This window comes from Homo sapiens, chromosome 2 (genome assembly GCF_000001405.40).
Source record: "Homo sapiens chromosome 2, GRCh38.p14 Primary Assembly".
Classification (NCBI taxonomy): domain Eukaryota; kingdom Metazoa; phylum Chordata; class Mammalia; order Primates; family Hominidae; genus Homo; species Homo sapiens.
The window spans coordinates 100934308-100959952 of NC_000002.12; the positions used below are offsets into that span (position 1 = coordinate 100934308).

Consider the following 25645-nt stretch of genomic DNA (forward strand, 5'->3'; position numbering starts at 1 on the left):
CACAACCTTTTTTTTTTTTCCCAGTTAGTTTCAAACTATCAAAAGTATTTGAGGAAATAGGGCTTTTGTAAAGTTAAAAATGAATAAATTTCGGGGCTAGAAGACGGGACTGAGATTCAGGAGACTGGAATTTCTAGACAAGGAAGATTGATATTTGTATAGTCTTTATGCACTTTCCCTTGCTCCCGGTGTAGACTCCTAGAAGCCGGTGGAAAGGAAATCATGCTAGATGAATGAATTGGATCTGAAATTAAGCCTGCACAACCAGCAGGCCTTCTGGGTGAATGGCAGCTGTGAGTGGTCTGGAAAGTCCACCAACTAGTACTGTTGACCCTGACTGTGTCAGGCTTCTCTTCCAACCTGTTGCTCTTCAGTAGACACAGACCTAGTGCTGAGTGACTGGAGCCTTCTAGCATCTCCTCCCTGGTGGCCTGAGCCCCAGCTGTGGTTGGGGGAGATGGGGAGCTCCCACGGTGATGTCACCATTGTCCAGTGCAACCTTCCCATAGCATGGGTCTCTCTCCAGCTGCCCATCTCTCTGTTTTTTTTCAGAGCCATTTCAGAGACTGTGAAGAATCCAGGTGCCATGTCTTAGTGGCCAGGATGTTCCCTTTCTAAAATGAGGACAGAGCCCAGGAGATAACCCATCATGTCCCTAGGGAACTGCTAATGCCCTCCAGATGTGACTCCCGTCTTCTTCCCTCTTCTCTCTAAGAGGCACAAAACCAGACTCCAGGAGGACTCACATAGCTGTGAAGTTTGAAAAAACAAAATTGACCTGGCTGAAAAAACAAAATTGACCTGGCTGCAGACCAGCCAAGCTGGTAAAGTATCAGCTGGCAAAGACTGTGGCTACCAGCATTGGAGCAGTTGCACTCAAAAGGAGCCAAAGTGCCTGTGGCCTGCGGAATAGGGAGCTTGTGGAATTTCTGAATTTTAATCAGAAAAGCAATCTCTTCTCTTAGCCCAGAGGTTGTCCCAAGGAACACAAGAAATGTTCCATCTGATTCAGGAATTTGCAGAAAGGGAAGGTTTCGTTTCCCTCTAATGTGTGGCGGTTAGAAAATTCTGGGCCATTATGGCACCTTTGGAAACACCCCAGTCAAAATCACCATTCCATGGATAGGGGCACAGCACTTTGCAATCACTTGCTGTTGAATCCCTTTCAGATGCTACTGATGGGACTTCCAGAACCACAGCCAGCTTTCTTAAAGCAATGACTCAGTGCAGTTCTCATAGAGTTGATGGAAATGCCAATGAGCTGATGAAAGTTATCTCCCGTCTATAAATACCTTCAGCTTTTTAACACCCGCTTGCTTTAGACATTCAGGAGGGACATGGGCTCACTGTGCAAGACGATTTGCACTGCCCTTGCTTTTCCCAGCTTTCCAATCTGCTTTTTCCAGAAAAGTCTCACTGATGTCATCAACAGTGCCCTTACCCCTTAAAAAAATTCACCTCCTAGAGGGCTTCATAGATGACTTTAAAACATTTTTAGAAAAATACCTGGGAAGGAAAAGTTACTGGGATGTACTTCTTCGTTTACTGTAACTCAAATCTAACCCAGCATTTCTCAATCTTGCACTATGGTCATTTTGGACCTGGTAGTTCTTCGTTGTGGGGACTCTCCTGCATATTACAGGATGTTTGGCAGCACTAGATGCCAAAGTCACCCACTCCAGTGGTGACAATCAAAAATGCCTCCAGACATTACCAAAATTGCCCCCAGTTGAGAACCACTGATGTCATCCAAGAGGACGAGGTCCATTTAAGAAACGTACTTGAATCTGTTTTTCAGTCTAAATCCTACCAGCTGTCGGTGTAAAATAATAAATGAGTCTAGTGTTAATTTTCCTGGTGAAAAGAACTCTTTCCCCTTTCGGCATGGTATAAAGGTGCCCTTCATGCACTGCTCGTGGCCTCTTCCGGGTTCCCGCTGCCATGCACTTCAGCCACACCCTCCTAATGTGAAAGAATGAATTGTCCACACAGATTCTCAGACATCACGTGACCATCTAGTTGAGTGCATGCAACATGTTTCCAGAGCTTTCTAAGCACATATTTCACTTTTTTTCCTAAGCAGAAAAATGTCCAGATTCGGGGAAGATAGTCAAAGAAAAAGTCAGTGAACCGACAGTGACAGGTTTCCAGTAAAAGTCTCCCTGAGCTATTATTCCCTTAAAGACTTGCTTTCTGGAGAGGTAGGCTTCATTTCTAGTCTCCTCCCCCTCACTGGCACACCCTAGACAGCCAGTTGCCACTGTGATCCTATTCTCTGCTGAATTATGTCGTCTTTATTTTAGAAATCAACTATCAGATACATATTGTGAAAGCACTGCAAGCATCCACACAAAAATAAATCCCAATAAACAATCTAAAACCAGCAAAAGTGGCTGGGTGCAGTGGCTCACACCTGTAATCCCAGCACTTTGGGAGGCTGAGGCAGATGGATCACTTGAGGACAGGAGTTCAAGACCAGCCTGGCCAATAATGGTGAAACCCTGTCTCTACTAAAAATACAAAAATTAGCTGGGCCTGGTGGCATGTGCCTGTAATCCCAGCTACTCGGGACACTGAAGCAGGAGAATCGCTTGAACCTGGGAAGCAGAGGTGGCAGTGAGCCGAGATCATGCCACTGCACTCCAGCCTGGGTGACAGTGAGACTCCATCTCAAAAAAAAAAAAAAAAAAAAAACCATGAGCAAAAGTGTCTGCTTTATGAGAAAGCATTGCCCACCTTCAACCTATTATATCACAAGCACCCAGGACAGTGTGCCCAGCATAGAGTAGGCACTCAGTAGAGACTTTCAAATGCATGGATTTTTCAGACATTCTGAAATGCTTACGGATCCAGTTGAGTTACGCAACCCCCACACCCACCCAGCCCTGTAGAGTAATGTGAATGTTCTTTACAAACAGTTCCTTCAGTGGGCATTTCTCTTGTGGCAATGAATGTGAGCAGAGGCCTGCCTTGGCCAACAGGCACACTTTCTGTTTTTAATGCATCTGTTAGGTCTGATACCTTTATCAGGGCAAATGTTTACCATTGAACTCAAAGTGATGGCAGGGGTAGGGAGATGGGAACCATAAACTATGGCTGATGTTTTCTAATGGCAAGGGTGGTATTTCTGAATCAGGCTAATAATATGCTTATCATTAAACCTACTTAGGGAATTTCCATGGCTAAATGTTATTTGATTATGCCACTAGGTCACATTTTTCACTGATCCTGTAGTGCTTTTGCAAACACTTTTCCTGGGCCAGACACATTTTCTGTAAGAAGCTGTCCTCCGTGGAAGGCCAAGAAGTGCCGTGAGGTTATTCATGGAAATATTCTGAGGATTATAAAACAAAGCCAGTGTCCTAAAATAGTGTCCTCTGCATCAGTGACATGCTCCTCCATAAACGCATTGCTAAGGAGCTTTCAAATGTTGCATTTTCCACAGGCATTAGATGGCTTCATTATCGCAGTGACAACAGACGGCAGCATCATCTATGTCTCTGACAGTATCACGCCTCTCCTTGGGCATTTACCGGTGAGTTTCCACTCCAATGGCCTTTACCGGTTCACGTTACCATGTTTCTGTTGAGAATCATTAGATCTCAGATGGAAGGTGGTGCAGGTGTCAGGGGGCTGCAGGTGAGAAGAGGGCGGAGAGTAAAGGACTGCTGAGTTTTGGGGACAGGACCAGGCCGAGGTCAAGGTCCCAGGAGCCTTCCAGGAAAAGGGCAGATGCAGGCGTGTGCCATCCTGGAACAGGCAAGGCCTGGAGTGGGAGCTGTGGCTACAGATTCTTTTTCTGGGTCAGAAATGGGGACTGATGAGAGAGTCACAGCACTGTTAGTGGAGCTCAGAGCCATCATGGAGGCTGACAGACATCCAGGGTCACCTGACAGCTGATCAAGGGAGAGGACAACAGATGGCTTGGGTTGAAACACGGTTTGGGGCTTACTTGGGACATGTCTGAGGTTGCAAGTGGGTAGCAACACTTAGTGGTGGTAAGGGTTTGGCAGCAGGGCCGGTTCCTGGGGGTTGAACTGCTCTGGGAAGACTGATGTCTTGGAAGACCTTGGGGAGTGAGGAGTGTCTGGGTGGACCAGGAGAGGGTCGGCTTTGCATTCCAGAAGTGCACGATGGAAGCTCCAAGGTGGCAGAAGGGGCTGTGGTATGGTCACAGGCCCTGACAGATGTCCCTCCCCACTCTTTCCCTCCGTTCCTTCCCTTCTTATTCCCTCCTCCCTCCCTCCCTCCTTCCCTCCCTCCCCCCTTTCCTCCCTCCCTCCCTCCCTCCTCTCTGCATAAGCCTTGCTGGCTCTCTGGTAACCCCCAACACAGGATGAAGTGACTCATGGGTCTGCACCTGGCTGGTGGAGGACCCACCGTTGAGGCTCCCTCATGGGCATCTGGCCAGGCTTCCATCTCCTGCCACACCATTGCCTGTTCCTGTTCCTAGGCGGCAGCTTCGATCTGCACACAGCATCATTGTGAATGACAGCTGTACCAGGAGCAGCACGTGTGATGGACAAGAAAAAAACGTCCTCTCTCCGCTCTCCTCCCAGTGAGCCCAGCCAAAACCTTCCCCACCACCCCCGACCCCTGCTCATCCATGGATAGGTGGCCAGTTTATGTGATGAAAAGAGGAAGGCTTGCCCTGGATTCACACATAGGAAAGCTTGGGCCAGGATGATGCTGGAGGACCGCGGTTCCCTCTCCTTAGCTGCCCCTGCCCAGGGAACAGCGTGGCCTTGTTCCATGGGCAGCTTCCATCTGCCTTGGGGTGATGAGCCCAGCTCTGCTGATGGCCCAGGGCTCCACATCATCCTGGGTCATACCTTTCCCTGGAAGCCACTCCCTTATCCCACCATTAGTGCAAATGATGCTGTGTGCAGATCGAAGCCGCTGCCTACATTTTTCTTTGCATTCGCTGAGCGGTGGCCCACAAAAGCATTTTTTATGTTGCTAAGCAGATGCCTTCCCAGTAGGCCCTAATCTAACCTAATCTGTCTCCCCTTTGTGTTCCAGCCCATTTCCTAAAACGAGGGTGCATCAGGCTGGTGGTGGGGAGCTGGGGGGCTCTCTCCTCTTGATAGCCATCAGAAGTGGCTCATCCTCACTCGGCCTGAAGGAGGAAGCTGAGGGTGCAGCTGCACCTTGATTTTCATCTCTGGCCAGGAAGCTAGTGATGGGGCTGACACCATGAATACAGAAGTGATCCCCATCATCACCCCAGAGAAGCTGGGCTGATCTGAGGGTGTCTGAGGACAGAAGAGGAGCTGGGGTATTCTTTGGAGGGCGCTTGTGTTTTGTATTGAATGGCAAGGGCTCGGCAGTGGTAGGCACTGACCGAAAGCAACCACACGTGGCCTGCTTATTGACCTGGGAATGAGAGACAGGAGCCAGAACTGTTTGGGTAAACAGGATTTGCACTGTTCTGCTTTATGCTCTTGTAATTATCTGATGACCCAGTTGCTGTACGTGGCAGACGGGACTTAGAAAGTAAGAGGGAAATTCTTCTGACTTGAAATTATGGAGCAATTTAGGACCACTTTCATAAATTATTTTCTAACTCTACAAGGGCCAGAAATGACCCGACTCTAATTTATCAATGCTGGACCCACTTGAATGCAAACTAAGACTCTGTATATATATACCCATGCCCAGACACATACAGTGAGTCAGCCCTCAACTCCCTGGTGCAGGTGAGCCTGGGCCAGGCAGTCCCCAAATTTAACTGCAATTTACTTTCAGCTTTCATTATCCAGTTTTCACCAGGATCTTCCTTTGCAAGTGGGTAGGCAAAGGCTGCTGAGGATGGAAACTTCCCTGGTGCAATCAGCATACAGCTGGTTGGGCAGAGGAGCGGATCTGGGAGTCAGACCTCTATGACTTCCACTATGGGGAGGAAGCCCCAATGGCCCAGGCAGTGAGAGGCACAGTGGGGCTTACCCCAGGGGTAGCTGACTGCAGAACCCAGGCTGGTCACCAGTCTGCTCTGGTGTCTTTCTGGTGCCCAGGATTTGGGTCATAATTTAGGAATTCTGATTTTGGTTTGGTTTACTTAGATGCATACTTAACTATTAAATATCACTCCTTGTGAGCCCAGGTCCTTTCCACAGATGATGCAACATTTCAAAACTTGTGAGGTTGTCTTTCCTTTTGCAATTTTGTTGAGAGATTTTACCCATTAAACCTTGGGTGACTAACACTGAGCACTTACAATGTAGCAGGCACCATTAAGAGTCACTCACATGCGTTAATATGTGTAGGCGCATAGAACCGTGCCTGGCCCAGAGCGAGGCTGTTTTATATTTGCTCTCCTTATCCTTATGGATCCTATGAAGTACATAGTTACCCAGTTCACAGATGATGAAACTGAGGCACAGAGAGATTGAATAATTTACCCAAGGTTCCACAGCCAGACAGTGAAGAGCTGGGATTTGAACTCAGGCACTTTGGCTCCAGAGCTTGGTGCTTAACCACTCCTCAGAATCCTATACGGGACACAGTAAAGCTGAATGTTCTCAGAGTGTGGGGCTCAGAAAGGGAGAATGAGGAGCTGAGAGGTGGTGGTCGCTCCTCGAGGAAGAGGCGGCTCTTGAGGTGGAGGTCGGGACACAGGGTAGTCAGGGGGCAGGAGGCTGTGGGCCCCAGCAGCAACGCCCCTCTTGGTGTCAGGCCAAGCACAGGCTGGCCTGCTGGGGTCCCCTCCCATGCCCCTTGTGTGACTGGGGATTGGAGAGCCATTGTAAGGGGGATGAGAGCAGCCAGAATTCCTTCCCACTTCTCAGGCTGTGGGGCTTCAAGTCTCTCTCTGTTTCCTTCACACTGCCAACATCTCAGATGTAACAGAAGCTCATGTGATAGATTTTCGTACAGCAATTTCTGATGAAATAGCCTAGAACTTTCTTTACCAAATTGGCAGAGAAAAAAGAGAATAAAATAGCTGAAAGTGAAAGTGATTTTAAGATGAGAACTGGCAGGCGCGGTGGCTCACGCCTGTAATCTCTGCACTTTGGGAGACTGAGCTGGGTGGATCACTTGAGGTCAGGAGTCCAAGACTAGCCTAGGTAACTCAGCAACACCCGTCTCTACAAAAAATCCAAAAATTGGTCAGGTGTGGTGGCGCATGCCTGTAGTCTTAGCTACTTGAGAGGCTGAGGTGGGAGAATCGCTTGAGCCTGGGAGGAGGAGGTTGCAGTGAGCCAAGATCACGCCACTGCACCTCAGCCAGGGTGACAGAGTGAGACCTGGCTCAAAAAAAAAATAACAATAATAATGAGAATTGTTCAGCAGTGGCAGCACCAGCACATTTTGGTGTCTAGAATTGACACAGGCAAGGAACATGAGCAAGACAGACGTGCATACAATGGAGGCCAAGGGCTCACGGGAGCCTCTGGAATGAAAACCTTGCGGGAGAGATCCAAGGGGCATGAGTCACGTGCCTTGGACAGAATGGGGAAAGAGTACGGCTGAGGCAGAACCAAATGAGAGACCAAAAGTAGGCATAATCTGTGTTTCCTGTTTGGGCTTTTATTTGATGTTTTGAAAGTTAGCTTCCTGGGTTACTTTCTGATTTGTTCCTAGATGCAGTGTTGCCTAATGAGCTGGATCGTGCTAAGCTCTTAAGGCAGACATCATATCCCCAGCCCTGAACATTTGCCATGTGCCTAAGTGTTCATTGAACGAGGGACTGAATTCATAACTGGGGTTATGAGCAACTGCAAGCAGCTTGGCACGGGTGGGGAGTGCCTTGGATGTGAGAACTATGTGCATGGATAACCCTACCTTCCCCAAAGAAAACAAGGCACAAGTGTTCATAAAACTGGAGAAATCTGCAGGCCAGAAAATACTTCTGTATCATGCTGGCTCGCCAGGTACAAGCCCCAGCGAGAAGAAAATACAAGACCAGAATGGGATATGGAGCCAAGTTCCTGTGGCAGGGGCACAGCAGGAGGAGATCCCAGGAAAGGAAAGCCAAAGCCCCTGGCCTGTGTTAACACAAAACACAGCAGCAAGGCCAAAGCCATGAGACACCTTTTCAGGAAGCATCCCTCTGCCCTTCCCACCCCACCCTGCCCTCACCTGCTGGAAGCTCCCATCTGATTGATCCACATCATTTTGTCAGAGGTGTCCCTGGGTCGGAGCAGAGCCCTGACAGGTGCAGCTGCAGCTTAGAGTTGATCATGGATTAAAAGATTCCAGGCCTCTAGTTAGATTTTTTTTATGCCTTTTGATTTTTATATACCATAAATACAGATGTGTGTATAAAACATATGTTCAGTATTAAATTGACCAAGTGAACATACATGCAGCTGTCACTGAGGTGAGCAAATAGAACATGGCTGGGACCACAGAAGCTCCTGTCTGCCCCTTTTTCGTCACACGTCCACCTTCCACTTGGAGGCAACCATTTTCCTGACTTTTAAGGTCATTGTTTGCTTGTTTTCCTTTGTAGTTTCACCAACTTTGACTTCACTGCTAAACTCTTTAGTATCGCCTTTTGTTTCACCGTGTATAAATGGAATCATTGAAAATGGACTCTTGTGACTTCTCCTTTTGCTCAACATCGTTTGTGCTTCGCATCTGCCTCACACTGGCAGATGTAGCTGCTGTGGGCTCTTCTTATTGCTGGGTGTGTTCCATCGTAGGAATGTGCTGCAATTCCTGCATTCATCCCAGTTAGGGATTCTTGGAAGGTGCTTCCATGAACATCCTGTAGTGTTTCCTGATGAACGTTTGCAAGCATCCCTGGAGGACTGACTAGATGTAGAATGGCTGGGTTGAGGGAAGTTCTGCCTCCACCTTTACTAAGTAACACCAGAATGATGCCATAGTGGTGGCACCAGTCTGCCCTGCACCAGCAAGGTGGAGACGTCGCAGTGCTGTGGCATCAGAACTTGGCATTGTCAGACTTCTTGTTTTTGTCAGTCTGGTACATGAAGGTGTCTCATGGAGTTGTACTTTGCTTTTCTCTCGATTACCAATGAGATTGAGTGTCTCTTTATATGTTTGTCAACCATTTAGATTTCATCTTTTCCGAATTACTTGCTCAGGTATTTGGACATCCTCTTTGATTGGGTTTTTTCTTGCAATTATGAGTAGGCTTTCTTTCCGCGATCTGGACACAAGTTGTGGGCAGGTATTGTTTTAATTACCTCTCATTCATCCCACCCTAGGGTAATGCGGATGTCTGAAGACTCCACAGCTGACACTGGATGAGGCCAACAGCAGTTAATTAGTCACAGATACTCACAGCCCAGATGAGGACCACACAGGGCCACAGGGGGCTGCACGTGGGAAAAGAGTGAACCAGCAGGGGCTATGGGAAGCAGGCTGTGCAGTAAGAAGAGGGTGAGGTGACCCCTGGTCCCCACAGGAGGACATGATTGACATGTTTGAATAATTCCACAACCTGCTACTCAGGGATGAGCAGAAACTGTACCTGTCCCCATGATAAGAGATGGGGGCTTGGCTGGGGGACCTCATCCATGGGTCTGTGTGGGGAGGGAACCTGCAGTTAGGCCATTTGAGGCCCTTCCAATTTTACCAGATGCCAAGGCAGCATATAATTTAGAACCTTAATTTTGGGCCATACCACAGACGTATGTGTTGCAAATACCCTCTCTCACTTTGTGGCTTACCTTTCCCCCTTTTTTAGGGCATTTTGATGAACAGAGATTCTTTCTGTATAATTGGTACCTTTTATATCTCAATTAATTCTTACTATTACAAAGTCAAAGCCATTCTCTACACTACCTTCTGAAAGCTTAACCATATGGCCGTTAGTTTGACTTTGAATCTAAACTGAATCTAAGTGGATCAAATATGCCTCCAACTTCCTGGACCTTTAGGGAGACCAAGGCCCCAGTGACTTCTCTTAAGCCGTTCTTTTCTCAAGGTGAAGTTTCTCCAGGGCTGCTCACCATTGCCTCTTCTCACTGCAGCCAGCACAGATCTCAAGCCAAAACTGCCAGAGCGCCTCAGGGACACTCTGGGAGGAAGTGTCCATCCAGCCTACTTCCAGCTCAGCCTCAGTGTGCTTTTAGTACAGGCTCATTTAACATAGCTGGGTGTCCCTGCACTGGTGCTGCTGGTTCAAGGCCCGTCAGGCAATTAGGAGAGAGGACTGCCCACCTCCACAGGCAGGTGACCTTCCCGATCGTGGGACTCGGCTGTAAAGACGGCTGTGGATGGCACATTCCCTCCCTTGTCTCCATAATTGCTATTATTTTAATAAACAGAACTCAGCTCATTCAAGGGACCGTTCAACTGCCGATGTAATTTTCTCACCTGTAAGCACTAGGGTTAAAAATTTCAAGTTATCATTGTTTGTGTTGGTTTTCAGCATGTGGAAGTAGCATAATAGCAATGTACTAGCAAATACATGCAAGAGCCAAGCACAGTCTGGGGCCCTTTCTGTGTGTTAATTCACCATCCTCGCAACCTCCCACATATCATACCTGCCCCTACTTGCATCCAGCGTTCGTCTTTATTCTGTGCAGAACCCGTGTCCTGATATTGGCCCTCGGACCTGTATCAGTAAAGTTCTCTCACACAGGTGACCCGGCCAGGCAGCCACTCAGCCTTGCTCTCTGCCACACCCACCGTCAGGGGAAGTGGCTTCAGATGGAGCCCTCCAAGAAGAGGCCATGGAGTCACTTAGTTTTCATTTTCAAGTATTTGAAATATCTTTATGAAGAAAGACTACTGTCATCTGTGAACATGAGTCATCTTCTAAAAAAACTAGAGAGAATGGGCTTAAAATAAAACCAGGAACATCCGAAGAAACTTGGAGAAAGCCAGAATGAGAAATGGTAGCATAGACGAGAGAGGATCCTGGTAGAGTTTCGTCCATAAAGATAAAGACCGGTGCGTCCGAGCCAGAGCCTGGAAGCCATGCTGAGTCCTTCCTTTCCCTCCTCCTGTCCTCCGATCAGCCACCAAGCTGTGTCCACTGTCCTCACACCCACCGGAACACTGACTGCAGGCAGGGAGGGGCTCTGCCTGCTTCCCAACGTGTCTTCCCCATGCCCAACAGCGGCTGGCACATGGCGGCCCTCAGCAAGTATTGTTTGGACTACGATATTGATGAGTTGCCTGGGACTCTGTCTGCTCCTCTCCACTCCTTCCCCTGTCTCTCTTGGGACCCTGGCCATTGCCAGCCTGACTTCCAGTGCTCTCTCCTTCCAGACTACAAGCAGGATCTCTTTAAAATGCACGAGCAGTTCTGCCACCCCCTTCCTTCAGGTTCTTCGTGGCTCCTCCTGGCACAGGGTCGAGCCCTGACTCCTCCGAGGCCTCTCTCATCTGGGCCCTGCTTCCCTGTGCAACCTCCTCTGTCATGGCTTCTCGCCCTCCCTGTTGTTCCCACCTTCCTGCAGTGCTGTCAGGGTACCCACCTTATGCCTCTGTGCATGCTGAGCCCCCTGGCTGGAGCACCTTCCCACCCTGTCTGGCAGACACTGTCTTGTCCCCTGGCTCCCACTCAAGGATTCCTCCCTCTGGAAATTGTTCCCCAGGAGTCTCCTCTACCCTTTCATTGTGGAGGCAGCACACCATCCACAGTGTTCTCCGGGCACCTTGTTTTAATGCCTGTCATAGTGCTGGCCACGCCATTCTTTCAGCTGGTCAGTTCAGTCACCATCCTGGACATCAGGGATGTGGTGGTGAACAAGGCACTGGGCCCTGCTCTCCTGAAGCTCCTGTTGGAGAGAGGGAGGCGGAATGCTCAACTCAGCACATAGCTGTACAGGAAAACGTTACTGTGGTGCAGGTGCCCTTGTAGTCATTCTGTAACTGGTCATTCAGTGCCTAATCGCACTTGGCATTTATTGAATGTCTGCCACGTGCTGTTTTATCAGCAGTGGAGGCAGGTGAGCTCATGGAACCTTCATGGTTTCCTCACCTTGCAGCTGAGGAAAATGCAGCATGGAGGGGTAGAACCTGCTTTCAAGCCTGGGCTCTGAGCTCTCACGCCTTGCCATGTCACCTGATGTCCCATCAAGGGGGTCATTGTCCCCTCAGAGCCCCTTAAATCATCAGTGGGGGTGGAGGGTGTCACCTGGGGCTTTCTCAGAGGAAGTGACTTCAAAGCAGGGACCTGAAGGTTGCACAGGGCTTCGTTAAACACAAGGGGAGGGTGCAGCATGTTCCTGCCTGAGGGAACAGCCCAGGTGAGGCTCGGGGAGAACAGAAGGCAAACTGGAGGAAAAAAGGCTCGGAAGGATTAGAGAAGTGCTGGGAGCTGGGAGAGGCAGAGGCTGAGCTGTGAAGAGCTGTGAAATTGTGTTGAGCAGTTGAGGCTTTGTTCCTGGAGCAGTCGGAAGCCAAGGGACAGTTGTGACTTGATCTGTTATGAGGCTCCTCTGACTGCTGATGGAGAACAAATTGCACAGGCACTAAAGTGGATGTGGGAAGACCAGTTTGGCCAAATCATTCCCAGGCAAGAGAGGATGGGGGTCTGGACTAGGGTGGAAGCTGGAGAAATAGAAGTGAATGGAGCAGAGAATTTGAGGGAGAAAAATGGGCAGTACTATGGACACTGTTTGGTTTGAGGGTAAGGACGAGAAGGAGAGAAGACAAAGGCGCCACCAGAGGGTCTGGGACAGGCAGATGACCAACTGATGATACTGTTGATGGAGATGCAAACACAAGGGTTGGAGATGATATGGGTGGGAAAGAATGCCGATGTTCAGGACATGTATTCATCTGTGGTCCCCAGGGAGCATCTGAGTGGCAGTTGGAAGGCTGAGGCTGGAACATGAGAGAGTTGGCTGGATATTCAAACCTGAAAGTGTATACAGATTGTGTTTGAAGCTGTGAGAGTGGATGGGTTTATTGAGGGAAACTGAGGAAGAGAGAGGTGCCTGTCTCCTCGGTCCACTGTGAGCTCCTACCTGCATATCCAATATGGTAGCCACTAGCTACATGTGGCTGTTTAAATTTCAATTCAAATTAAATGGGCCAGGCTTGATGGCTCATGCCTGTAATCCCAGCACTTTGGGAGGCCGGGGTGGGCGGATCACCTGAGGTCAGGAGTTCAAGACCAGCCTGGCCAACACGGTGAAACCCGTCTCTACTAAAAATACAAAAAATTAGCCGGCCATGGTGGCAAACACCTGTAGTTTCAGCTACTTGGGAGGCTGAGGCAGGAGAATCGCTTGAACCTGGAAGGTGGAGGCTGGCAGTGAGCCGAGATCACACCATTGCACTCCAGCCTGGGCAACAAGAGCAACACTCTGTCTCAAAAAAAAAAAAACAAATTAAAATTCAGTTCCTTGTTCACACTAGCCACGTTTCAAGTGCTCAGTAACCATGTGGCTAGTGGCTCCTGTTACGGGCAGCACAGATTACAGACCATTTCCATCATCACAGACAGTTCTATTGGACAGCACTCAATCTGAACTCTACCTTGTATTTATTTTGTAACCACAGTGCCAAGGCACTCAGAAGAAAACGTGCAGTTCCATAACTTAAAGACCTTTACGAAGTAGACTGGCAGCCCTTTGCTGCCCTAAGGGTCAGGAAAGGAACCCTGTGGGCTCTTTGGAGCCATTTAAATCAATGATTGGCCTCGCACTGGGCGTGCACAGGGGCCATGCTACCCCAGCCAAAACGCAGGAGTGTCAGCAAACAGCACTTCTCAAGCAACAGGAGGACTCAGTCCTTCCTACATTTGTCTGACTTCACTCTTAGTTCCCTCCTTGGCCCACAGACAACAGCACATATGCATTTGAACAAATACAGCCCTTTAGGTTACTATTTAAAACAATGGAGTGATAAACTGAGAGTGTCCACAGAAAATCAGATATTGAACTTTCCATTTCAGAAACCAGTTCTGCGTTGTTGTGAATGTTCAATTTTTGTTTTTGCTTCTGTTTTTCATCTTCGTTGAGGGTGTACCTTTGTCCTTTATTTTCTTTTTCAGTCGGATGTCATGGATCAGAATTTGTTAAATTTCCTCCCAGAACAAGAACATTCAGAAGTTTATAAAATCCTTTCTTCCCATATGCTTGTGACGGATTCCCCCTCCCCAGAATACTTAAAATGTAAGTTTAATTTTTCTGGTTTTACAAGCTAGAAAGATAAGAATTTTGCTTTTGAAAGGAGGTTAGAATGAATTAAGAAGGGAGAACTAATTTTAAGAATAATTTTCCTCATGACTCAGAACATTTCCAAGATCCTTAGAGGTATATTTTAGGTTTAAAGCTAAAACTGGAATTTGGAATATGTAAGACATTTGGCTTTTATGTGGAAAATTTGAAAGCAGAGAACTCAAGAATAATAATTTATTTTGTGTATATGATAAGATTTCTCTTTTTTTTTGCATGAGAGTCTTTTAGTAAGAAACAGTGCAAACATCAGTGAACAATCAGCTCATCATGGAGGATACTAAGATACTAAATTCATATAATATCAAGAAACCAACTGAAAACGGAATAATTAGGTCAAAAATCCAAATTCTGTCCTCCTGAGGCTCTCACCTGGTTATTTATATACATTTTTGTGTTCTGTGGAATTCAGACGTTTTTATCAAAATATTTGGCAACCTAGGTAGAAGGCTAACCTTGATGCCTCGTGAACCACGGGTCACTTAATGAAGCATACACAATTGCATGAGGTAGCAAAGCTGCTTGCATCAGTGCAAGCCTGTGTCCATTTTCCATGAATAATCTGTCCTGTCGTACATCTGATTTTACTTCAAAGCAAAGCAAAAAGATTAAATTAAAGGGAGCAGCTCTATATGAGCCGCTTTATTTTAACATACCATATGAAAACAGCCGGAACTAATCAATGCCAACATTACCAACCACAGACATCTGGGAGCAAATTAAGACTAATTGGGTCCATGTATGGAATGCAAAATATCTATGAACTATGGAAGGAAACCCCTGTGCAGCAAGGTTACAAACCAGGCCCAAAAGTCAGTCGTAGTGAGAGAACTAGCCTGGCCATGTGTAGACTAAATCCCATAAGAGTTTTCACAGAGACGCTACTTGTTTAGAGTCTGTGCAATGCTCACGACCCCTTTCTCTCCTCTTCTTCCTTTAACGGCCCAGCTGACAGCGATTTAGAGTTTTATTGCCATCTTCTCAGAGGCAGCTTGAACCCAAAGGAATTTCCAACTTATGAATACATAAAATTTGTAGGAAATTTTCGCTCTTACAACAATGGTAAGCTTTAATTGTCATATAATTGTGACAGTGTCTTTTCTCATGCAAACGTGCACATGGGGGCATTAAGAATCGCCCAGGGAGGAGGAGGGAGAACGCGTGCTTTTCACATTTGCATTTGAATTTTCGAGTTCCCAGGATGTGTTTTTGTGCTCATCGATGTTCTCTCCCATTCAAGAGGAACACACTCCCACACCTGTTTGTGCCAGTGCACACAGTCCCACTGAAACACACATTATTCATTTATTTATCTTCGGGCTGATGAAATAATTCTGTACTGTGAGAAACAACATACAGGGAATAAAGAACAGGCTCTGCCAAACAGGCCTTCGTGGTGACTTGATGATCCATAACCTTGCCTTCCACACTGTTTCCCTCCCGCTGCAGTACTGTCATGAGCGTATTTTAGTAGACCTGGTCCGTAGGTCTTCTGCTCACTGTGGCCCTCATGCACAGCAAAGGGGTCATTTTACAATGAGCCAGGAATCTGCATTGGATGAATTATCAAGCAGGATAAGCCAAGTAGCAAAGTCTTATTTTCTGAAAGTACCCGGTTACCTGATTAACCAAACTCTGGCTACAGAGACAACAACTCTGAACGAGACTAAAACACTTATTTTTACTTTTGAACCATGCAAAATGGAAATGCAGGCCTGAGGCCAGGAATTCAGAAACCAAGTCCTAAGCCAACTTGGTTATGGGCTGAGCTCAGCATGGCCTGCATTTTGTTTTCTGGGCTCCTCCAAACTCAACACAAAACAAATAACTTTGAAACAGCTAACATTTCATAAAGCAGCAAAGATGGAAAAAAAATAAAATAAAGCATTGACAGGGAATGGGGGAAAAAAGAGGAAATGAGAAAAATACCAAAGGAAACAAAAACAGAAAGATGAGCTGCAGAAATGAGGGGGAGATGCAGAGAGCAGATGATGACAGCATTAACTTCTGCTGCGTTCTTGACCACTGTTTCACTCTGGACGTGGTGGGTCTATTCCTTCAGTCAAATTTGTCCCAGGGTTTCTATTAGAAACAGCCAAAGTAATGGCACCAAGTCCTCACATCTAACCAGGATTTTTCCTTCTACCTCAGATGGTCCTTTGTTGTATGTTATTTGCATAAATATACATGCTTTGTTTAAAAGGCTCCAACTAGATGCTAAACCTTTAGTGTGATCCTGCCAGCATGATTTTCAGGTCCAGGGTGCAGGGCTTATGCCTGGATGGTGGGCTCCTTGGCTGACTGGGAGGCCTTTCTGGGAACAGACCCATCCAGGGCTTAAGATGGTCGGAAGTGGTGGGAAGTCCATCGTCCCAGGTGGGCCCCTACATCTGGGCAAAGTCAGATGAGGCCAAGGCCTAACCATGCCTCATCCTACTCATCTGAAAGGCTTGTCTAAACTTCATGAAATGAATGTTTAATGAACCACACAAAGAAGTAAATGGAAGCTCTCGTTGGGCTACTCAGTTAAAGAAACTGACCTAAGAGGCACCTTGTAGAGAACCCAGCATCGTACTAACCCTAGCGCAGTGGTTCTTTGGGTGAGGCAACTTATTAAAATGCAGACTCTCAGCCTTTGCCCTAAAGAGTCTAGCTCAGGAGATGGGAGGGTAGGACCCAGGAATGTGCCGTTGGGGAGTACTGTGGGGTTCTGGTTCCAGGGGCTGTGGACTTTGAAAAGCACTGTCCTAGTGTGATACCAGTGCCATTCTGTGGAGAATGCAATGGCCTTCCTCCCAGACAACTTTATCATTGAGTTAATGTAAACAGTGATTTGGAATTTGCTTTACGTGTGCACTGGTTCCTCAAAAGATTAAACATAGAACTAGCATATGATCCAGCAATTCTACTTATGGGTATGCACGCAAAAGAAGGGAAGACAGGAACTTGAGAGATATTTGCACACCTGTGTTCATAGCAGCATTATTCACAATAGCCAAAAGGTGGAAGCAACCCACGTGTCCATCAGTGGATGAATGGATAAAGAAAGTGTGATATATACATGCACTGGAATATTATTCGGCCTTAAAAAGAAAGGAAATTCTGACATTCTACAACATGGAAGAACTTTGATGACATTATGCTGAGTGAAATAAGCCAACAGCAAAGGACAAATATTGTATGATTTTACTTACATGAGGTACCATAGCCAAATTCATAGAAACAGAAAGTAGAATGGTGAGTGCCAGGGGCTGGAGGGAGGGGGAAATGGGAGTTGCTAAATGGGGACAGAGTTTCAGTTTTGCAGGATGAAAGGAGTCCTTGAGGTGGATGGTGGGATGGTTGCACAGCAGTGTGAATATACTCAGCCCTACTGAACTGTGCACTTCAAAACGGTTACGATGGCAAACTTTGTTATATGTGTTTTACCACAATTTTTAAAAAATGATGGCCAGGCGCGGTGGCTCACACCTGTAATCCCAGCACTTTGGGAGGCCGAGGCGGGCGGATCACGAGGTCAGGAGATCGAGACCATCCTGGCTAACATGGTGAAACCCCATCTCTACTAAAAATACAAAAAATTAGCTGGGCGTGGTGGTGGCGGGCGCCTGTAGTCCCAGCTACTAGGGAGGCTGAGGCAGAAGAATGGCGTGAACCCGGGAGGCTGAGCTTGCAGTGAGCCGAGATCGTGCCACTGCACTCCAGCCTGGGCGACAGAGCAAGACTCTGTCTCAAAAAAAAAAAAAAAAAAAAGATGTGCTTTGGCCATAATGGCAGCTACTGTGATAGCAACATACCCCAGTGGCCTCGTGCACAGAGGGCAAAGGGCAAAGGCACCCTGGCCCTCAGGGCACCAAGACTGTGGGAATCATAGGATGCTGCTCCCTCTTGCCCCATGACAACAGTGCACACACTTCGGGCAGATCACCTGAGGTCGGGAATTTGAGACCAGCCTGACCAACATGGAGAAACCCCGTCTCTACTAAAAATACAAAATTAGCCGGGCATGATGGCGGGTGCCTGTAATCCCAGCTACTCGGGAGGCTGAGGCAGGAGAATTACTTGAACCTGGGAGGCGGAAGTTGCAGTAAGCCAAGATTGCACCATTTGCACTCTGCCTGGGCAACAAGAGCAAAACTCTGTCTCAAAAAAAAAACAAAAAAACAACAACAAAAAACTAGCCTGTGATTGGCTGGCGAACAGCAGTTGTATCCTTTGTGAATTTACATTTCCATGATCTCATTAAGATGCTGCTGAATATCCCTTTGAAGCATCCTGTCATTTACCACATCTTGGAGGATTTCAAGGAAATAGGCAGGCTTCATTCTGAATACCTGGGACTTTTTTTTTTTTTAACTAGCAGGGCTCTACTTTCACTATGGGTTGAGATAGTGTTTGTTTGCCTGAAAGAATGTGTGGAAATTATGTGTGAGGTTTTTTTTTTTTTTTTGGAAACTATTACTGCTGTAAACACGCAGCACTGAATGTGGCAAATTTAAAAGAAAGAGTGCGGAGTGTCTTTTCAGAGTCTGTTCTACAAACCAGCATTGAAGAGGCTTTCTTGAGACAAGAGTTCCCCATGTAACTGTGGAGTACGTGAAATATCATTCTAACTGGGATTAAAATAGCAAAAATTGTCAGAGACAAATGAATTTCTCAGGTTAAACCCTATAAAGGCCAGATGCAGTGGCTCACACCTGTAATCCCAGCCCTTTGGGAGGCCAAGGCAGGAGATCACCTGAGGTCAGGAGTTTGAAACCAGCCTGGCCAACATGGCGAAACCCCATCTCTACTAAAAATACAAGAATTAGCCGAGTGTGGTGGCATTAGCCTGTAATCCCAGCTATCAGGAGGGTGAGGCAGGAGAATGGCTTGAACCCGGGAGGCGGAGGTTACAGTGAGTCGAGATCACGCCACAGTACTCCAGCCTGGGTGACAGAGTGAAACTCCATCTCATAAAAAAAAAAAAAAACAAAAAAAACACCCTATAAAATTGCCAACATTTAACCACCGTGACCTATGAGATATGCTTTAATATAAGAACTCAAATTTGACTTCATAGGTTTACTTCTGAATAAACATTGAACAATGAGGTAACAAAAAAAGCTCACCCTAGGAGTGCTTTCTAAGCACCCGGCCCAGAGTTCAGGCTTTGCATTGATCGTGTAATCCTCGCCACAGCCTTTTGAGGTGGTTTATGGCATCATCCCATCTTCACAGAGGAGGAAATGGACACGTAGAAGGGTTGCATCTATGATGTGTGAGTGGGAAGTCAGGGGCCCACATTCACAGCCAGACCCTCTAACCCGGAGCCCACACTCTTCACCCCAGTGCCTGCTGCCTTTCACACATCTGTGTCGGAATGAAACAGACACAGGCCCGCTCCGGCCTCCTGGCATTCTGCTGATCCATGATGCCTACAATGCCTGTGCATGTCAGATGCCCTGCACCCACATGCCAGGCTGTGTGAAGGGCACCCAAGATGTGTTTTAATCAAACACAAAGACACACAGTCATGGAAATGACTGTCATGAAGGGAAAGGTTCATGCTCTCGGGTCCCTGGGAACAGGAGGCACACATGGCCCACCATGCAGGGCCACACAGAGAAGCACCGGGGTTGGTCAGGAGGCCGAGGGAACCTTTATTGTCGATTCCAAGAGAAAGAATGGGTGAGAGAGAGTAGTATGAATAAGTGTAGTGGGATCTGGGAGGGAGGAGCTGTCCCTAATTATCTGGTGTCTGCCCGGGGATTGGTTAAGTCAGGGGACAGGGACCAGGACATGAGAGCCTGAAGGACCTGGTTGGGGTGTGAGCTTTAGGTGCGTTGCTTTGCATACGAAAGGTACCTGGAAGGTGAGTTGTTTGTCCTCTCTAGGAATTGGCTAACCCTGGGAGAGGCAGTCCCTCCAGCACCAGCAAGGCCCCAGATGTCAAAGCATCAAAAACAGAAACCAGAAAATGTGGGCCAGGCACGGTGGCTCACACCTGTAATCTCAGCAATTTGGGAGGCAGAGGCGGGCAGATTGCCTGAGGTCAGGAGTTTGAGACCAGCCTGGCCAACATGGCAAAACTGTGTCTCTACTAATAATACAAAAATTAGCTGGGTGTGTTGGCACATGCCTGTAATCCCAGCTACTTGGGAGGCTGAGGCATATGAATTGCTTGAGTCTGGGAGGCGGAGGTTGCAGTGAGTGGAGATTGTGCCACTGCACTCCAACCTGGGTGACATAGTAAAACTGTGTCTCAAAAAAAAAAAAAAAAGAAAAAAAAGAAAAGAAAAAAGAAACTAGAAAACATAGCTATTACACAAGCCTCCCCATACAACTTCTCCAACTCCAAGTTCCCAGGTGTGGTGACAGTTGAAAAAATAAGATGTAATATTAATAATAATAATAGGTAATATGTGTAGAAGAAAAATGACCACTAACATCATTTTTTTGTTTTTTTTGTTTTTTTTGTTTTTTTTTGGTTTTTTTGAGACGGAGTCTCGCTCTGTCACCCAGGTTGGAGTGTAGTGGCGTGATCTCGGCTCACTGGAACCTCTGCCTCCAGGGTTCAAGCGATTCTCCTGCCTCGGCATCCCAAGTAGCTGGTATCACAGGCATGTGCCGCGATGCCTGGCTAATTTTTGTATTTTTAGTAGAGATGGGGTTTCGTCATGTTTGCCAGGGTGGTCTCAAACTCCTGACCTCAGGTGACCCCACCTTGGCCTATCTGCTGTATTTTTATAGGACACTTGCTCATACCTTGATGAACTATTTAGGAAACCCACCTTGGTCCATTACTGTGAAAAGTCTTAGTGTTTCTGCTGGGCAGTTTAGTTAGTGGAGTGTTACATGGTACATTCTTATTTGATGCCTGTCCTTTTTATATATATGTATAAATAATGGAATGGGAAGGACAGCGACCCTTACTGTACCCGCTTCCTGGGCCTAGCATGGTCCTTACCCAGCACATAAATAAGCAGCGGATAAAAATAGGTTGACCTAAAGTGAGGCTTGATCTTGGCCCCGGGACACAGCTGGTGGAGGGCAGAGCAGGGTTCAGACCAGACTTGAGGCTTAGAGAGCTTCCCTAGGAGCTAACAGAGCTCTCTCCTAGACCAGCTCCACAATACACTCTGGGGATAGAGTGCACTTATATGCAGAAGAGCTGCAGTCACTTCTTTGGCCTTAAATCCAAAGTGGAGATTGAACACAGGTGGGTACGCACTGGGTAAACTGGATTGTGTCACTCCTGGTGCCTTGTGATTTGTCCACACTGAGGGCCTCTGAAGCAGCAGTGAGTGGCTGGGGAAGTTCGTCTGTGGGCTCTGTGCACTCCCCACCCACTCTGTGCCTCCCACCACATCAAGCCGCCTCCTCACTTCAGCTGCTTGGGTGTTTGGAGGCCAGTAGCCCCCTTACCTGATGTCCCTACTCAGGACTCCCCGCCCCATGCTCCTGACACCCTCTCTCTCTTTTGAAAATATTTTCAGTTTTTTGTTTGTTTGTTTGTTTTTTTGAGACAGGATCTCACTCTGTCACACAGACTGGAGTGCAGTAGCACCATCATGGTTCGCTGTAGCCACCACCTCCTGGGCTCAAGAGATCCTCCCACCTCAGCCTCCCGGGTAGCTGGGACTACAGGCGCATGCTATAACAACCTGGCTAATTCTTTTATGTTTTGTAGAGATGAGGTCTCACTGTGTTTTTCAGGCTGGTCTGAAACTTCTGAGCCTAAGCAATCCTCCCGCCTTGGCCTCCCAAAGTGCTGGGATTACAGGCACAAGCCACGCACCCGGCTTAACTTTTATTTCAGATTCAGGGGGTACATGTGCAGGTCTGTCACATGGGAACCCTGCCTGACGCTGAGGTTTGCAGTACCAATAATCCTGTCACCCAAGCAGTGAGCACAGCACCTGACAGGCAGCCAGCCCCTCAGCCTTCACCCCCTCCTTCCTTCCTCCCTCCAGCCTCCAGCAGCCCCCGGTGTCCACTGCTCCCATCTTTATGTCCATGTGTACTCAATATTTAGCTCCCACTTACCAGTGAGTGCATGTGGTATTTTGTTTTCTGTTGCTGTGTTAATTCACTTAGGATAATGGCCTCTAGCTGTATCCATGTTGCCGCAAAGGACATGTTTTCATTCTTTTCATAGCTGTATAGTATTCCACGGCTAACGCGCTCTCTTCTTGCTCCTCTGATCAACTGAGTTGGTCCAAGACTGAGAGAGTCCCTGGGCCACCACTCAAAAATCACATCAACAGGAAGCCTCAGGCCCCAAACCAAAGAGAGATGTGTAGGTTCCAGGGCAGAGGAGAAAGGGTGAGGCTGAGCTGGAGAGGGCTCTGTGTGAGCCTTGAAGCACACAGACGAGGATCCCATCTTGTTGTCTGCTCGCCCACATGGCTACCCGGGATTTGTCAGGCTCTGTACACAATGTGATGGGGCTGAGTTCGTAGGAATTTGAGGGGAAGGGAGGAACAAAGCCCCTTTGCTCTGGTGAACTAGGTGACGTTACACTCTCCAACTGGACATGTCCAGGTTCCCCAGTGGAGGATGCCCCCCTCTCCTCTGCCCCCATTCACTTTGGCAGTGTGAACACACCAGCCATTGCTCAGGTCCTTCAGCCAAGTGGAATTTTCCCCTACTTCAATGTTTGCACATTTTGGTCACTCCTTAGGGCTTCATCATTTGCCACAGATGTTCTGGGGGCAGGGGAGGGAAGACAGGACTTCACATCTTTAACCTAGATTTTTAATAAATGTGAAGAAATATGTGTCAGGAAATGGGACAAGAAAGTAGTCTTTTTTAGAAGAGTTTCACTTGAGGACAGTTTCTAACCCAGTCTGTGCAAAGCCTCTTGGAGGGCTCTGAGCTGGGATATGTAACCCCGTGTCCTATTCTCTTCCCCTGAAAAGCCCACGCTGGACCTGGCCAGCCAGCAGCACTGGCATGGACCACTGGTAGGAGCAGCCCTTTTCTTCCTCTAATCAACTGTTTCCAGAATAGAGCTTAACAAGATGATTTTATTTAGGGCTATGTTTGCTTGTAACAGATACTTTAAACAACAACAACAAAAGAGAGATGCTTTCAGACAAATACACAATTCCATCTCTTGCTTCTCCAGCGAAATAGTGCCTCCTTTCTCAAACCCCAGGTGCCCAAGTCCTGTAGCCCCACCTGACCACTCTTAGTGGAAAGAAACTGGCCGGGTGATTTTCAAAGGCATGGGGAAAGGTCCTGCCGGGCGCGGTGGCTCGCGCCTGTAATCCCAGCACTTTGGGAGGCCGAGGCGGGCGGATCACGATGTCAGGAGATCGAGACCATCCTGGCTAACACAGTGAAACCCCGTCTCTGCTAAAAATACAGAAAAAATTAGCCGGGCGCGATGGCAGGTGCCTGTAGTCCCAGCTACTCGGGAGACTGAGGCAGGAGAATGGCGTGAACCCGGGAGGCGGAGCTTGCCGTGAGCTGAGATCGCGCCACTGCACTCCAGCCTGGGCGACAGAGCGAAACTCAGTCTCAAAAAAAAAAGGTCTTTGCTTTACGGGGTCCTAATATGCAGGCTTCCAGATCCTGAAAGATAACTTCATGCAAGAAGGCAATCCTTTCTCTGAGCCTTTTTGCTCCTCCTCCAGACTTGGATGTAGATGTGTGTCTGACAAATCCAGAAAGCAGTATTTCAAAAGTTGCTGGTGTGGTTCCAAATAGGTCACCCTCGGCAAACATTCCACTCTGGGCTTTCCAGAAACCACACACCAGAGTATAAAAGTTTCCCTGCCCTCGTTTTACCTACTCGCCTCTAACCGCACAACCAGATTTGAAATACTGGCAGAAGTGGAGGCTTTTCAGCTTACAACACTCGATTTTGTATGTTCCGTGGGATTTCTGGAGGTTGCCTCATTTTATGGCTTTGGGGTGGTTTGAATTTTTTCCTTGCTGAGCTTAATTGAGATGCCTCAGTAAAAGGGAACAAAGCGCATGCACGCCAGACCTCACTGGGAATGGAGACGCGAGTGTGGACGGCTTCGTGGAAGGAGTGTCTCATCTACTCCGGACTCTAAGAGTGGGAAGCAGAGTGTCCCCTCCACCCAGCAAAGAATCAGGCCGTCCTTCCCCTGCAGGGGTCAGTGCTGCCAGAGAGATCGCAGGGGAGTTAAAATCACTGTAAAAAAATTGTGCCCCAGGAGCGTCATCCTGCACAGACACCTGGGGTTCATATTAAAATGGAACAATGAGGAATGGTCAGGCTTTTAAGCAACCTCATCTTTCTGCTCGTTTCAGTCTGGGAGTGGGGGGACCTTTCATACAAGTTGTCCCATAATCGTGATAAAAATGTGTGTGAGATATCCACTTTGAAGACAGGGGCGAGGGAAGTTCACTTTCCTGAACATACAAATAATTTGGCCCATCCACACCAACCGTCTAGTGGATATCTTCTCAACGCCATTACACTCTTCTGGCCCCTAAAAATACTCATTTTAATTAATAATTGCCAGAGGAAAGAAGAAATATTTGAGTAAGACATGTAGTTTCCCTTTAGAGTCATTTTTTAATCCAGCAAATTGCAAAGCCAGGCCAGGCACGGTGGCTGACACCTGTAATCCCCGCACTTTGAGAAGTTAGATAATTTGAGCTCAGGAGTTTGAGACCAGCCTGGGCAACATGGTGAAACCCCATCTCTTCAAAAAAAAAAAAAAAAAAAACAAAACTAAAATTAGCCAGGCATGGTGGCTTACTCCTGTGATCCCAGCTGCTTAGGAGGCTGAGGTGGGAGGATCAGTTGAGCCCAGGAGGTCCAGGCTGCAGTGAGCCAAGATCGCACCACTGTGTTCCAGCCTGGGCAAAGAAGGAGACCCTGTCTCAAAAAAAAAAAATTTTTTTGCAAAGCCCCAGCTCTCTCTTGTGGCTCCTGCCTTTTCTCCAACATTGCTCTTCTCTATGCAAAACACAGCTGAAACAAAGGAAACAGAAAGGAAAGGATCAAATATGCCCTGGGTAAGGTAGGCAGTGCCCCTGCCAAGAAGTGGGCAGGATTATCACGGTGCTCTCCTAGGAACCCAGCCACCTGGCTATTCAGAACACATTGGGTCAAGCACATTGTGAAGAGAGAAAAATAAGAGTCTGAAAATAGTGCTTAATTAGTGGGAGATGATTCCTCATGAATGTGCAGAAAGTTATTTTCCCCTCAACATTCCAAAGCCATAGCCTGAATGTTTTGGATGTTTATCACGATTGGGACTTAACAACTTTATTCTTCCTGGAGCGAAACCTCATCACTGATAGTTTCATATCTTCTCAGACACCTGTCAGACTTGTTTTTCATTTGTTTCGAGAAGTGCCGAGAAAGCTATTTGTCACTTCCTTGTGGACTATTAGTATGTTTTCCTCCAGCCATTGCAACTAATTTATCATAAGCAGGTCGTCTCTGATGAGAATACTTAATTGTTCTGATGACTGAGCTGGTAATTCAGTGGAACAGAGCCAGACATCTTTCTCCAGCTCTTTGTATTCTTTTGCTGTTAACTAATGCTATTACCATTTCTGCA

The 25645-nt window shown here is 47.4% G+C and overlaps 1 protein-coding gene across 21 annotated transcripts in view; it reads left to right on the top strand.

The window, feature by feature from the left end:
• NPAS2 (neuronal PAS domain protein 2) overlaps positions 1 to 25645 on the top strand; it is a 178107-nt gene that overhangs the window by 115585 nt on the left and 36877 nt on the right. For 17 of the 21 annotated variants that reach the window (XR_007075420.1, XM_047444506.1, NM_002518.4 and 14 more), the window contains exons 5-7: positions 3446 to 3535; positions 13928 to 14048; positions 15060 to 15173. Coding sequence is in view for 20 of the 21 variants with exons in the window: in XM_047444506.1 (XP_047300462.1) it covers positions 3446 to 3535; positions 13928 to 14048; positions 15060 to 15173 (325 nt within the window). In the remaining variant the exon portion in view is untranslated. Of the gene's footprint in view, positions 1 to 618; positions 825 to 3445; positions 3536 to 13927; positions 14049 to 15059; positions 15174 to 25645 lie in introns of those variants that run through there. The other 4 variants (XM_011511242.3, XM_047444511.1, XM_047444502.1 and 1 more) reach the window with 2 other exon arrangements.